Source organism: Homo sapiens, chromosome 3 (assembly GCF_000001405.40).
Source record: "Homo sapiens chromosome 3, GRCh38.p14 Primary Assembly".
Taxonomy (NCBI): Eukaryota; Metazoa; Chordata; class Mammalia; order Primates; family Hominidae; genus Homo; species Homo sapiens.
Window position 1 is genome coordinate 337,480 of NC_000003.12, and position 16,233 is coordinate 353,712.

Below are 16,233 nucleotides of genomic sequence, written 5' to 3' on the forward strand. Positions count from 1 at the left end.
TACATTAGGTATGTCTCCCAATGCTATCCCTCCCCTCTCCCCCCACCCCACAACAGGCCCCGGTGTGTGATGTCCCCCTTCCTATGTCCAAGTGTTCTCATTGTTCAATTCCCACTTATGAGTGAGAACATGCAATGTTTGGTTTTTTGTCCTTGCGATAATTTGCTGATAATGATGGTTTTCAGCTTCAACCATGTCCCTACAAAGGACATGAACTCATCATTTTTATGGCTTCATAGTATTCCATGGTGTATATGTGCCACATTTTCTTAATCCAGTCTATCATTGTTGGTTCCAGGACATTTGGGTTGGTTGCAGGTCTTTACTATTGTGAATAGTGACACAATAAACATATGTGTGCATGTGTCTTCATAGCAGCATGATTTATAATCCTTTGGGTATATACCCAGTAATGGGATGGCTGGGTCAAATGGTATTTCTAGTTCTAGATCCCTGAGGAATAACACTGTCTTCCACAATGGTTGAACCAGTTTACAGTCCCACCAACAGTTTGAAAGTGTTCCTATTTCTCCACATCCTCTCCAGCACCTTTTTTTGGCATTTTTAGTAGAGACGGGGTTTCACCATGTTAGCCAGGATGGTCTCGATCTCCTGACCTTGTGATCCGCCCACCTCGGCCTCCCAAAGTGCAAACATTCTTGAAATTCTGCTTAGCTAGACTGTTATGTGCAAGTTGATTCTGATCCCTTTGCAGAGAGGCCATTCAGGATCAAGTCCAGTCTTGTTGAAACAAAGTTAAGTGATTTTTGGTTTTGGTGTTGATGAAGTACCCATGTGAAATATATTGGCAAGATAAAGGAGTGTAATTACCTCATTTACCGAAAAAAATATTTTTTTAATTTACTTTTAAAAATATTACTGTTGTCCAAACTCAGCAATGCTAATGTTTGTCACCAGATAAACACAGTAAATGCCACTGGTTGGATTTATTTTTAAATGGAGTCATTTCTTTATCTGAATTGAGGTAGACTTCATGTTAGCTGCTGTGTTATAGTAATTAAAGTTCACATTTATCTGTGAGTGTTAAAATTTTCACTTTTTATCGTGCCATCAAACTCACTAAATAGTTTCAGAGTCAAAGGATAAGACATAAAAAATTCCTGAAAAATTAATGCCATTTATATATCTTCTAAAACCTTAAATTTATTGATGTATAAGTATGCGTCCCTGTTTTCCAATATTCATTTTGTATTTAGTTAAAAGCTGTTCTGAAGATTTATGGCACGCGATAGCAGTTTTGGTAGAGTTATAAATTTTCTTTTCTTTTTTATTGTTGGTGCCTTAGAAGCCAGTTGAATTACAAATTTACATTTTCAGAATTAGAATTGTATAATCTAGATTTAATTAATGCAAGGATGATAATGCTTCAGTGGCAGTACTATCTGTTCGAATTGCTAGGTTTTTTTTAACGCTCTCAGGGAGCAGCTCTCCAATTAGGGATTTATACATCTTATTAATTAACTACTTTACAATAGATATTATCCAGTGAACTGTGTATTCATATTAGGGACTGTATAGTTTGCTTGTTATCGAAGTGGATTACATGCCCTTTCCATTTTCTAATCCATATTTTATTTCCTCTGCTGCCTCTTGTATCTGAGTATAGATAGATTCACCAACTACCCAACAGCACCACTGACTTCAATGCCAGTGTTTACTGGGCTTAAGTTACAGCGAATAAAACTAAATAAGTGGTTCAATTTGGAGATTTGGGTACATAAACGTTTTGTATATTACTATGCCTTATGTCTATAAGGTGTACTTTCTGCAAAATGTTTTCCATAGCATTTGATGTCAATCAAAGCCGAGGCTTTACCAAATAGCTGGCATGATGTTTTATCTACAAGCTCTTAATGTAGTGAATATACTAAACATACTTTCCCGACTTTTGAGGGAAATTTCATGCTACCTATAGCAAAAATGTGATTCAAAGATGGTTGCTATTTCAAAAATGTTTCCAGAGACTTTCTAAAAGGAATCTTATAGAACGAGTTGAGCAAGAGGAAACCCACTAAAGGACTGTCACATGGCTGAATGTATAAAGAGAACCAAAGTCTGCCTTCCGAAATTGCAAAGGCAGTGTAATAGCCACACCGCCCCCTGCAATGTTAAGCCTTGGAAGGTCCTTGAATTTAGACAAAAAGCAATTCACTGTAACCAGCTGGTGCATCGATAAGAGAAATGTCAGCAAATTCCCTCAACCTCTAAAGGCATGGATGGGGGTTGAGGGGCTATAGGACAAATATATAGGAAGTGCACAAAGCTTCTCAAGAAGAAATTTTACAGTAAATGAGTAAACCTTTATATTTCCAAGAACAATGAAAATCGGTTGTGAATCATAATTTAAGAATGAAACATACAAATAAATACCTTCTAATGAATTCCATCAAGTTGGGACTGTTATAACTGCCTTCCTAAGATCCTTCTCCTCCACAAGAGACTGTGTAATTCTATAATGCAAATTCCCCCACCAAAAGTTGAAAGATATCAATGTAATGCTCAGGAAGAATACATTTTGAATATCCTTATAAATATCAATACTTCCATAAAAATATTAAACTTTGGTGTTAGATTTCAAATTCTGCACAATTCTGACTTATATTCTGATTATAACTGCATTGCTCTTTTAAGAAATTGACTCCAGTGTGGGGAGGAAACAATAGGTTGAAATATTGACAAGTCTCATTTCCTACATCAATTCCATTTCATTTAAATTTTTATTTAATGGGAGTAATTTCAATGTGGCTGGCTCTTTTTGCAACTTAAAGTGGTCAAATTTGGCTTTCCATTGCATTCTTACCATTTTCTCCATATGGGCTGGGAAGTTTTTATTTAGTGTGGTTAATGCACTGGCTGGAATATTTGCCAATCACATTCAAGGCCTTCCCAATAAAGCGAGAGATAGAGAATATGCAACCGCCCAAAGTGAAATCAGTGTTTGGAGAAAAAGATTTCACATCTATCAAAGCTAAAGCAAGAAAATCCTGTGACTCTGGGTTTATATCTCTGCTCAGAGAAATATGCACAAGTATGTTATTGCCTTATTGTTGTCGCATAACAAAAACATTATTGTCTGGGGTTTCAAAATGCAGAAATATTTTTAAAGTTGTGTAAAGATGCACACCAGTTTCTTAATAGTATTTAACTCTGAAGGGGAGATGTAAGAACCAGGATCTGTAGCATAGAATTTATTTAAATTGCTGAATTTTGAAAAAAAAGAACATATTAAGATATTTGTTGTTATAGTCAAAGTTAATTTTAAAATAACACATTAAAATGATTTTTTACACCAGGTGTTCCAAAATTCCCAAAAGAAAAAATTGACCCTCTTGAAGTGGAGGAGGGAGATCCAATTGTCCTCCCATGCAATCCTCCCAAAGGCCTCCCACCTTTACACATTTATTGGATGAATATTGGTAAGTAATGCTCCGTTCCATCAAAAAAGGGGGACATTTTAATTCTATCCATCATATCAATAACATAATGAATCCAAAGACAAAATAAAAAATAAAGATCTCTTAATTTTTTCATATTTGAAGAGGAGATGCTACTAATATGATAAGATTTGTCTGTGAAGACAATACTTCCTATATTTCAAACAGTGCACTTACCTTTGGAATATAGATCATGTGAAAGCTGAGGATGGCATGGGTTTGTGTTGCTAGCTTCATCTTTCTATTTTAGTAATGCTCTACCTGCTAATTGCAGTCACCTACCAGGAAATTAGTATTAACTTTTTTGCTTAATTTTCTAAAAGGTTTGCTGACTCTGATCTGAAAATCTAGCTTTGTAAAGTCTACTTCTAGCATATGCCTTAGCAGTGATCTCTACATGTTTTCTCATTGTGAACCATAGAGAAAAATGCTATTTGCACAGCACTCAGAAGAAAGCAAATGAAGCTACTCTTAGGTACAGCCAATTGTTCCAGACATCAGTTCCCCTAGAACCTTCCAGGCTGCAACCAGAACAGGGAGATTAATATCACGGATAAAACTTTTGGAGAGCTTTTTGTTTTTTCTTTTTAAATCATGTTTTAAATAAACGTGATTCTCAGAAAATACAAGTGTTAATTAGGTCATTGTCTGCATTGATCAGTTTTCAGTTCAGCCAATTCAGATTCATAGGGCAGAGGTGGAGACAAAGATGGTAAACAGAGTTTACCACTGTTTGTCTACTGGTGGACTTCTTTGGTTAATGGTAAAAAGTATCCTCCCAAGGGTTTTGCTGCTGTTTTTGTTTTGTTTTGTTTTCCTATTTGCTCATTGTTCCTGTAGTAAGACCAGACTTGAGAGGAATTAAAGAGCAAACAGGAAAAACCAAATGAAATAATAATGTAAAAGAAAATGAAAAAGGAAGATGAAGCACAGTAAGGGACAATTGCCCTTTTCAATGGCAAGATATCTCTTTTCAGAATTAGAACACATCGAACAAGATGAAAGAGTATACATGAGCCAAAAGGGAGATCTATACTTCGCAAACGTGGAAGAAAAGGACAGTCGCAATGACTACTGTTGCTTTGCTGCATTTCCAAGATTAAGGACTATTGTACAGAAAATGCCAATGAAACTAACAGTTAACAGTTGTAAGTCCACATAATTTATCGTTTCATCATGTATGCTGAATGCAAATGTGTCTGTAATTTCCTTCTGGCTGAAGCCATTTAAAGCTGGGTTGATATTTTGCACCATTGTGCAGTTCAACTCTGGAGACTTCTTCCAGATGAAATAGACATCTGCAGCTGCAGATTCACGGTAGCTCTGTCTCTCACAGCCAGGAAATCACATCTCAATTCACAGGACAAATGTATTTCATCTGACATCTGCAGGATCTTGTCATTTTCAGTGGATGAAATATACAATGAAATTCCAGGGTTTTCTAAGCAAATCTTGGGCATCGATTCACTGTGATCTTGGATAAACTGGCAGACTGAAAATGGGGGAGAAAACAACAGAGGCAAAAAGATGGAAATTTGTATCACCAAACTGGCAAACTTACTTGAATCACCCTTTCCCGACTTGATTCTGTGGAGGCCAGCCTGGGTTCCCAAATGGGAAGAGTAATTAGAGGGAGGAAGAACCGTAAGATTCAAAGGGAAGAAATAATCCCCAACAGTTTGCTGAGCGAATAATTGGCCCTGGTATAGTTGAAAGTTGGCATTACCATTTCATTGTTTAATTTGGTCCATGATTTTTTCATTTTTATGTGTAGATATGCCATGCCAGGGCTTCACTATAACATTCTTCTAGTAGCCTCAGTTCTCTTCAGTGGAGCTATAACTTGAATCTTCTCCACCTGGATTCAAGATTAAACTCACTATAATTATTTTCTATGTAAAACTATATTCCCAAAGGCAATGTTCTAGTGAAGCATGGTTCTACATCATTTTGTAATTTTTCTAAGACAAAAATATGACTTTTCATTCTTTATTGATATCAGCATCCACCATTATGTTTGTGTTTTTTCCTTCCGTTTTTTTATTTCAGTAAAGCATGCTAATGACTCAAGTTCATCCACAGAAATTGGTTCCAAGGGTAAGTTGAACCCATGTGGAGTGTTGGCATTTGTGTATAGCTCATTGTCATCTCAGATTTTGAATTTTTTCTTTAATATCCTCTTAAGTTTATTACAATACTGTTATTATGAAAAACATCTGAACTTAGAGGGTTCTATTGCCCCCCATGCCCTCTTAAATATATGCAAAGGGAGTGATTTTTATAAATATATAACTGTATAAATATAATGAAATACTTATATATAATGCATTGAATAGACAGATAGAGATATTTAATGGAGTAATTATTTTGGGTCTCCCAAAACGTCTCTTATGGTATATAAGGTTGATACTTTTGCAGAAAGAAAAGAAATGGTTAAGTGTCAAAAGACGTAGAGAAAACACTGCGTTTAAGAAAGTTAAGTGGATTTTTTTCTTGCAAGGCTTTTTGAAATATTTGACATGCAACTGTACATTGTGGCTTTCTGAGAAAAAAACAGTTTGTAGCATTTTTCAAGTTCATGTGTCTGCGTGATCTTTTTATTTAATTCTTTCCCCCATAGAACGTCTACCAGAACTTGTGTTCTATGGAAAATGCCTGAGTAAATCTGAGTTGTATAGCAGGCTAGTTCTCTATAATGAGAAGAGTCAGTTACATAATTGCAGCAAATATTCTCTATAAAATGTGGACCAGTGATAACTTAGATACCTTGCATACTTGCAAGTTCAGTGGAGGAGGATGTAAGCTCCTTTTGAAGAACCGTCAGTTTTAAGGTGGACTGATTCATCCCCAACATCATTTCCTTTGAGATTAATAACTCACACATATATAGTGCTATATTTTCACAGCACTCAATGAAAAATCATTGCACATAGTACATATTCAACAATTATTTTTCAAAAAATAAACACGAAGTATAGAAGACTGTCTACTGCTAAAGTCCCTTTGAAGATGGAAGTCTTCTAATTTGCCATTGTATTTGAAAAATATTCTTAAGAAAATAAGAAATGGGACACTTCAATATGCAGGTAGTGAGGATGCTTACTAGTCATTTCCTAAAACTGTGTTTTTCTTTAAGGAGCTGAGACTACAGGTAGAGTTGCCGAAAGAGCTTGATAAATTCATAGATGCCTAGTGTCTACCACAGCCTTCCTCAGTGAGAATTTCTGAGTGCAGGAGTGAGGAAGCTGTTTTTAGCAGAAACCTCGTTAAATTCTTAGGCAATTTAAATTAAATAAAAACATAAACATAAAGTCATTGCACATGACATGATTGAAGTATAGAATATAAAATCATAGATTTTCAATTAAGGACTTCTGTTTGACCTTCTGAGTTAGCAGATATGGTATAAATAATAATATTTATAAAATTTTGCAGTGCTACGCTCAGTAAAAACATATGAGGGACAACCCATGCTTCATGGTAAGAGAGAAGAGGAGTCTATTTAAATGGAAATATGTGAAATGTGTATAGAACACACACACACACACACACACACTCGTGTGTCGGATTTTTTGTTTTAAGAAAGATGTGGTGTCACAGAATTTTATGTATATTAATTTGAAAAAATTCTGACTTTTCTTTTCTATTTTGTAGCAAATTCCATCAAGCAAAGAAAACCCAAACTGCTGTTGCCTCCCACTGAGAGTGGCAGTGAGTCTTCAATTACCATCCTCAAAGGGGAAATCTTGCTGCTTGAGTGTTTTGCTGAAGGCTTGTGAGTAACCTGACTCTCACTCATGACTTTGTCCATCCAGTTCTGTAAAGAATAAGACATCAAGCACATTAAGACTGTGCTTGCAAAGATATTTTAAAATTATTTCCTTAAAAAAATTAAATTCTGCCGGGCACTGCAGATATTCTGCTCAGGACTGTTATTCCAGGTACTTAAGAGGCTGAAGCAGGAAGATTGCTTGAGCCCAGGAGTTGGAGGCTGCAGTGAGCTATGATAATGCCATTGCACTAAAACCTGGATGACAGAGAAAGACCTCATCTAAAATAAAATGAAATTAAAATTAATAAAATAAAATAAATAATAAACATAAATTCTGTCATTATATCTCTGGAGGAAGTAATTTGTACTTCACTCTACAGACTTCAGGCAGTAACAGGCTCATAAAATTAGATCTCTCTGTCAATTTATGATATTGTGGATGGAGGGGATGATGATAACATTCTCCTTAGTTAAGTTTAAGAAGCCTGAGGTTGTTGGTAGTCAGTCCCTCACTTTTGGTGCTGAGTTTTCTCTCTATGCTATACTACTTGCCCCACTCCTGTTTGCTATGTTACTTACTAAATCTGCTGCTTTGCAGGTTCCAAGGAGCCCTATTTATATCTATTTTTACTCTGCTGCCCTTTGCACACATGGAGGTCCAGACCATGTAATTTAAGAGAGTTTTACATCAAAATCTAATTAAGTGAACTTTCTTTACACCTGAAAAAGCAATCCATTTATTTATTTATTTATTTATTTAATTATTTATTCATTTATTCATTTATTTATTTTTTTGAGACAGGGTCTCACTCTGTCACCCATGCTGGAGTGCAGAGGCGCGATCTCAGCTCACTGCAACCTCTGCCTCCTGGGTTCAAGCGATTCTCCTGCCTCAGCCTCCTGAGTAGCTGAAGCTACAGGTGTGTGCCACCACACCTGGCCAGTTTTTTGTATTTTTAGTAGAGACAGGGTTTCAACATGTTAGCCAGGAAGGTCTCGATCTCCGGACCCTGTGATCCACCTGAGTTGGCCTCCCAAAATGCTGGGATTATAGGCATGAGCCACCGGGCCCAGCCCGCAATGCACCTTTTTAAATCCTCCAAGAAAACCCTAAAGGACCTCACTTGGTCACCTCTTAAAATTGTTCCATTTATTAACTACTGTTAAGTACATGTAAACAGGGACCATCTTATTTAATATTTAATCATACAGGGTCTCCTATTTTTACCACTATCCTTCCGAACTTACGGTCCTTCCCTACCATTGAGGATACCTTGGGAAAATGCATTCCAGCTTCCTAGCACCTGGGATTACTCATTTGAAATATAATCTGTTCGTAAGCTAAGGGCTTTGGGGACTCTAGTTAGTGGACTAGGATTTGAAATTCAAAAAATCATATTCATTCATAATTTAGAGTACATTCTGAACGACTGGTTTAGAAATGGAGCAGATTTTATTGGTTTTACAGCCCCTAAGCTTTGTAAGTTTCTCTTTCCAACCACCAAAAATATCAAAGTTGCTTGTCTGTCTTCAACTCCCAATGTGTATTTACATAAATTAGTTAGAAGTACTATGACACAGACTCTGTTTGGAATGTTTGGTCTGTGTATTATTTTAGAAGAGGAAAGTCTCATATTGAGTTTGAATCATGATGGCAACAACCTGCTCTACTGGTTGTATTTGTACATGTTTACAGTGGTAGAAATTACATTCTTGCAGAGTTCATCACTGTATTGAGTTGGGCAGGGTGATCCTTTCTGTAATTCTTTTTTCTTATTTCCCACAAATGCCTTCACTGACCTCTTGGATTGACTAGCAACTGCGCAGAATGTCTTCAAAATAATGAAATGCTCTCATGTGCTTTTTAGAAAATGAAGAGTCATGAAGGAATATATAAAAACAGAGTGGATGAAAATATATGTTGTTGTGAGGACATGAAAATTCTTGATGCGCTGTCCTAAGACTTTTCACCTGAAGTAGTTTCTTCTTACTCATACTGATTTTGTGTTGGGTAATCCTGTCTGATCTGGGTCGTCTCTCAGAAGATGATACATTTTTAAAAAGTTTTTTGGGTCCTTTAAAAAACTCTTTCTAAGAAGTTTTCAAGCCATTAACCTCCTATAGTAACAAAAATAATTATAATTAAAGTATTGTACTATTATTTTGTGTCAAGCACTATATTTGGGTCTTTGAAAACTAGTCTAATTGTCTAATACATTTTACTTGAAAGAATAAAGTAAAATGATTATCTATAAGTGTCAGGTGAACATGAGATATAATTTATCTCAAGATAGGTCTATATCTTGGCAAGAATTTCCAGCTATATTCTTGCAAATGTTTTTCATTTCCTTTTGTTTTAGATTTAAGGGATATTTACCAACAGTATCTGAACAAATGTGTTTTGAGGGAAAACTTATAAAATGGCCATAGATGGACTCATGTGCACTGCTCAAATAGTTTTTTTTTCTGTTTTGTAAATTCGTGGGTTTAAAGTAGGTATAATTCTTTCACAAGATACTACTTTATAAATAGAGAAATATGCAAATAAAAGTTGGCCAGACAAGGACCTGAAAAAAATTGAGATTATGAGGTAGTGTATTTTGTGTGCAAAAAGGCATTAAGCAATATATTTTCCCTCAAAACACATTGCTTAAATGCTGTTAGTAAATGTTATTTAAATTTAAAAAAAGGCAGGAGGTATAAAAAAATTGGCAAGAATAGAGCTGAAAATTTTTGCCATGGTATAGACCTATCCTGAGATTAAATTATATCTCATTTTCACATAATACTTTAGATCATTATTTTACTTTATTCTTTCAAGTAAATGGTATTAGAAAATTAGACTAGTTTTCAAAGACCCAAAGACTAGGGAGTCCGGGAGATCTTGCTGAAAGTGAGTTACTTGCTCTAATAAAGGATGGACTCTTGAAAAAATCCTGTTTTAGGGGAAGTGAGTTCCAGAGCAGCCTATAACTTGGCAAATTGTCATTTTGACAGATGGAGTGAAAAGCCAGCAGTTAGGAGACTTGAGCTATGCATCCTCTTAGGTGGTGTGCTCAGAAAGCCAGCAGCTAATATGCTCTCACAGCTGTCTGCCCAGGCATCATTACCATTTCCTACACAAGCGTGCCATGTGCTCTTAGCCTGGTAAAATATAAGATTATTATTCCAGGCTGCACAGCACGTTAGTGTTTGAGGCTTGAAGGAAGAAGGAAAAGAGTAGATATATAGAGATTAAAGAGCCTTCATCTTTACCTCCAATTTTTTTTGCATAAATAACTGAATTATTTTAACCACAAACTATCAATACAAATAATTTGAGAATATTGACACACACGATTTCAAGGAATTGCTCAATTATTACATAGTAACTAATGGGCAATTTGACAGGAAGCATATATTCTAAGACTATAGAGTTAGGAAGGACATAGGTTGAAAAGCACAAAATAATAGAACACACTGATAAAAAAGGAACAAGTTTAGAGTAGACAAATATAAGTTGGGGTATATCATTTATTGCTCCAGTGACCTTAAGAAATTAATTTATTGGAGCTTCAGACTCCTTACTGTTAAATGATCACAATAATATGCCCATCTTTAGAACTCACCAAATAACCTACAGCTACTAATAACAAGAAGAAATATGGAGAGGAAAAGTGTTGCATCAATAAAATTAGCAAAGTTGTTTCTCCTACTCACTTATAGAACCTGACTGGGGAAGAGAAAGAGACAGTCATCCTTCATTTAGAACCAACCCTTTATGCTTTCCACATAATTTTTAAATCAAATGAGTCACAGAAGGTATGACTTCTGCACTTGTCTGCTTTTCATGAGGAGGGGTTTTTCTTAATGTAGCTGCCTTGACTCCCCAGTCCTTTTTTCCTCCTTACTAAGGTGGGGAAAGTTATCATGCTGGTGTGTAACAAGTTATCATGCTGGTTTTGTTTTGTCTTTACTTTCCTGTTTGTTTTGACTGGGTGAGCTAATCTTTTGAAAGCGCTAAGCAAGGGAAGATTTGGTTCATTCCTCCTTTCCTCTGCTTCCCGACAAGGGCGAGAACGTGATCCAGGAGGCAGTATCTGTGCTGCAGATTCCAGCTTGCCCTGGAATAGGCTGTTCATGGGTCTAATCGACATGTCCAGCTTTCACGCAGGAGCCCCATTCTCCATGATCAGCATCATAGGATTAAAAGGGAAACTTCTCTCTGCTGACTGTTAAGTCCCACTTTACTGTGTTTTACACAAACAGGGAATAGGGCTGTTATCACTGGCTGCCCCAAACCACCCACTGGGAGATTTTCACACTTGGAAAATATCTTGGTAATATTATTTCAATGAGCTCCAGCTATTTTTCCTTCGCTCAGCCACACCTAGTCAGCACTTACATGTAGTTAGCCCTTGTAATAGAGGAGAGAGAAGACTTCCAAGGAGACAGACCACTGGAGGAACTTTCAGTGAAAGAGACTTGCTTCAACACCAGTGTTCACTATTGTTGGTGGTGGGTGTGTCTGTCCACTGGTAAGGATGACGTGATTCAGTGGAATATGAGCACATGTGTAAAAGCACCCTGATAAAGGATGTGTCCTAAGGTTTTCTTTGTATTTTACTTTCCGCTTTTAAAAAAATGTTTATTTATTTAACTATTTTTTGCAGGCCAACTCCACAGGTTGATTGGAACAAAATTGGTGGTGACTTACCAAAGGGGAGAGAAACAAAAGAAAATTATGGCAAGACTTTGAAGATAGAGAATGTCTCCTACCAGGACAAAGGAAATTATCGCTGCACAGCCAGCAATTTCTTGGGAACAGCCACTCACGATTTTCACGTTATAGTAGAAGGTACCTTTCCCATGTTGGTCTATTTCTCTGCTTTTCAAAAAAGTAACTGTATACATGTAGTAGGCCTTGCTTCTAAATCATACATGTTAAAACAGGTCAGCAGTTTCAACTTTTAATTGTAGTGCGGGCATTGAATTATATTACACTTCAACTAAGCAGGTTTGTCATTTACGCCCCAAAATGACATAGAAGGGACAAATGACAAGAAAAGATCTCATGTTAGGGATTAAACACAGACAGTTTACATGATTTATTCAAATAGTCATTAAAGCTAGTCTCCTAAATTATTTTTATTGTAATACACATATACATTTCATAATATTAAATCATAAAAGCAGCAGTAAGGATTATGATGAAAGGAAGTATTAAAATGAGCCTGGAAGAAAGCTTGGATTTAACTTGCTGTGCCCTTTGCCATTTATTTCACTCTCCGTACCTCAGGCTCTTCACCAAAGAAGTGAAAGAGGCAGGCAAATTGTTGTGTCAGCTCTTTCCTGCATATAACACTTTTGTAATCCATATCTTGGGTTCAGATGATAAATTCAGTATGTTACTTACAGGCAAAAAAGAATAGACTGTATGCTATAATATTAATTCTCTCAAAAAGTGCAAAAACATTATATTCAAGTCATCTTCTCTCTGTAAATTCAGAGATTTTGATCAATCAAGGTTTTATTGGTATTAGTTACATTTATAGGAATAAGTAGGCAAAGATGATACCATTTAAATGTGGAATGTAGTTATTAGTGCTGTGACTGGCTGATGTGAAGTTTGTCTAGTCCTCTGAATGTGATTGACACAGACTATTTTCTGTGGATCCAATCACACTGAGGCTTTCTATCTACAATGTAGTTGACCGTATTGATCAAATTAATGGAATGATGACTGCATTTGTACTTATTTAGTGCAGTGTAAGCTTAGCTACTGAAAGGAATTATTCTTTTTAGACTACAATTTAGTGAACTAGTGCTCTAGGCACCCATTAATATTCCAGTAAAGTTCACCTCTTAAAACTTTAGTTTCCACAAGGAACACCTAAGTAATGGCCTGTTGTTTAAATTAATGGAAAAAAAAAAGGACTCAGACACAAATTCTCCTCCCAAGTAAATGTTAACACAGTTGATTTAGGCAAACCCCTGTTTGGAATAACACTGCATTTCCAAGCCTTCTCCATAATGCATATTATTATTTAAGGTAGGAAGAATAGAAAACCGAAGTTGAGAATTTTATTTTCTTTGACTTGACAAAAGCAAAACTTATATAGATATGCATTAACGTCAACATCTGCCAAACAGTGATATATTCCTTTGACATTAAATTATTCACAAAGAAATTCAAGGAAGAAGAGTTTGAAAGATTTATGTTATGTATATTTTTAGTCATCATTTGATGTTTCTATATAATTTGGCTACATCGTGCAACAGGGGTATTTTTCTGTAACCCCCTCCTCCCCTCCCTGGCACACACACACCCACGAACCAGACATATCTAATTGTTAGATTCTCCTCCAAGTTGCTGACTATTAGAAACACTTCCAGATGGCTGGAACATAGCTACGGTAGCTGAATATTTTAACAATCTGGCCACAGTTTTCTTGACTATAAAACCAAACCTTTCAAAAGAATTGCAAGGGTTGCAAAAAACGAAATCAAAGATGTAACATTAATTATGCAATTTAAAATGTTGACTATAGGACTCCAAAGGAATATAGATTTCCTGAACAAATTGTTCTCACTACTCATAAAACAGCTATTAGCACTATTGAGATGTAAATGATGTTTTTATGAAGAACTTTTAATCCTCTCTCTTTAGTAAGAAACTATTAAATGTACCTTCAGTTGTATGTTTTTGAAGTTTCTCTTTACCTATACACATGAAAAACAAATTGAGCTTAAGAAGTCTTTACTTTTTTTTCTAAAGTGTGGAGGTAATAAATAAAAACTTTGTTAATCATCTGGATGGATGAGCTCGTGTTTATTCAATTTTTTCTGCCTTCCTGCACCCTCTCCTTTTCCTTTTTTGTCTCTTTTTTAGAAGCCCACATTAAATAATAAGGATTTGCCATGTGAGAAAATAGCAATGCTATTGTATATTTTGAAAATCTACTCCATTCTGAAAACACCCATTGTGCTTAAGTAAAATCATGGATTCGATTGGATTCTTTCTGTATGTGCAATGTCTTTCCTATTACCAAACATAATATAATCAAATACTATGAGCTTGTAATTTAGGTTGCAACATCCTAAATATAAAATCAGACTGCACTTCAAATCCTATAATATGTATGAGCAAAAGCAGCCAGGATGTCTTGACTAGGTACAACTGTATATTCTAAATATCTAAGATATGATTAATTACACATTCAATAAAAAGAGATATATTATAGTGACATCTAAAACAGTCTACATCCAGAAATCAAAATATAATCACAATCACATTTCAATAGACTATTTAAAAATAAGCTCCCACCAATAATTTTTATGTTGTCAACTTTTGAATTATTTAAAGCCTTTGAATTTTAGTAAGTGAAATAGGAAAGCATTTATATGTAATTATAGAGCCATAGTATAATCCAAAATGTTTTTGCATTTTCAAAGGTTGTCATAAAATCAAATGCAACTCAGTCATTAATATACTTGAGAAATCCTTGTTTTCAAATAACAAACCTATTTCTAAAATGTTGCGATTAAATCCAATTTTTGTTGAACCTAACAAGTTTTGATTTATTAAAATATAGATTTTAATAAGAACCTGTGAAGAAACAGTTTTACTAAAAATAACCAGTGTTGTATGTTCTATAGGTACCAAGTTTGTTTTATTTTGTTTTTTTCCTAGTGATAAACATCTCTATTTAGCTTGCTTAATATATAGTCCCAATGTTCAGACATTTGCATCTGTTTCCAGCAACATGAGAAATATTTATCATCTTATTTTTGTATTTACAATTATGAGAAAATGCATAAAGTTTCAACATAAGCAATTTTCATCTGTTACCATATGTCTTAGGATAATAGATAAAAGAATGGGTTTCTATGAGGATGGTATTTTTCCTCAGAATTTTTGGTTTTAAGGCTCAAGAAGCAGCTGTTTCTGAGCAGAACAAGCTTGACTCAAGTCCCTCCCAATATTACATGATTCAGGACCAGCTTACTTCTATAGGAGAAATGGATGAAAAGCATTAAAGTAAATTTTCAAGCAATTATAAAGAAAGCTTATAAAGAAGGGTTAAGGTAAAGTATAGTGAGGAAGCCTAGTGAATGCTCAGAACTTCTTGAGTCAGTTGATAAATATTGGGGGAGCTTGGATTTGGAAGCATAAATTGGGCTGGCCTTCTTTCCTGTCTTTGATACAAATTCATAAGATAACACTAAATTAGAAACAAAAACCACATGACTTCAGAGTCTAAATGCTGCTCATCCATAGTTGCTGTGTATTTATCTGTGGAATGGCGAGAACAGGAACTGGAGCTTCCTTTGCTGGTGGGCCTGGGCAAGTTAGGCAACTTCTCCAAAGCTCAGCCCTCTGTCTGTAAGATGAAAGGATTGGATGACGTGATAATTTGGAACCTCTTTCAGTAATACTAATATTACTAATAGTCCTAATAGTAAATATCCTAATGGCAATAGTAATTATTCAAGAAGATTTACAGAAATATCATTATTGCTTGATTTTCTTTATTTCTGCATACGTTGAAAGCAATAGTTGTAATTTTCTATTATAAATATGATATGCCATAATGTTCATGTTCATGGAATATTTTTCTCTAACTTACAGATATTTAGTTTTATATTGGTTGTATTAAAATAACCAGAAAAAAAGTAAGGATATCATTAAAAAAATGCAAAATAGACAAAAATAAACCTTCACCTCAGAAAATGATCGCAGTTTATAATTTGGACTAGTGTATTTTAAACCAAGTGACTAAACATTTACAGGTAGTACAGCTTATGAATACAGATATTTAACTTGGAATTTAACAATTAAGTCCACACCCTGTGGAGTAATTACAAAGGCACTTATCTCACTTGGACTTGAACTTGAACTTGCCAAGGCTAGTTGTGTACTTTTGTTTCCTCTGATGAACTTACAGTTCTTTCCTTTTTACATAATCCTCTTTTTCTTCCTTTACTTAGAAAAATTTTAATGATATTTTTTCATTGTATACATAC

General features: G+C 35.1%; 1 protein-coding gene across 18 annotated transcripts in view; it reads left to right on the forward strand.

The window, feature by feature from the left end:
• Positions 1-16,233, forward strand: part of CHL1 (cell adhesion molecule L1 like) — a 212,655-nt gene that overhangs the window by 140,717 nt on the left and 55,705 nt on the right. For 12 of the 18 annotated variants that reach the window (XM_017005566.2, NM_006614.4, XM_017005572.2 and 9 more), the window contains 5 exons: positions 3,315-3,437; positions 4,433-4,603; positions 5,505-5,552; positions 7,110-7,230; positions 11,880-12,064. In XM_017005566.2, the coding sequence (XP_016861055.1) occupies positions 3,315-3,437; positions 4,433-4,603; positions 5,505-5,552; positions 7,110-7,230; positions 11,880-12,064 (648 nt within the window). The remainder of the gene's footprint in view (positions 1-3,314; positions 3,438-4,432; positions 4,604-5,504; positions 5,553-7,109; positions 7,231-11,879; positions 12,065-16,233) is intronic. The other 6 variants (NM_001253387.2, XM_017005569.2, XM_011533294.2 and 3 more) reach the window with 1 other exon arrangement.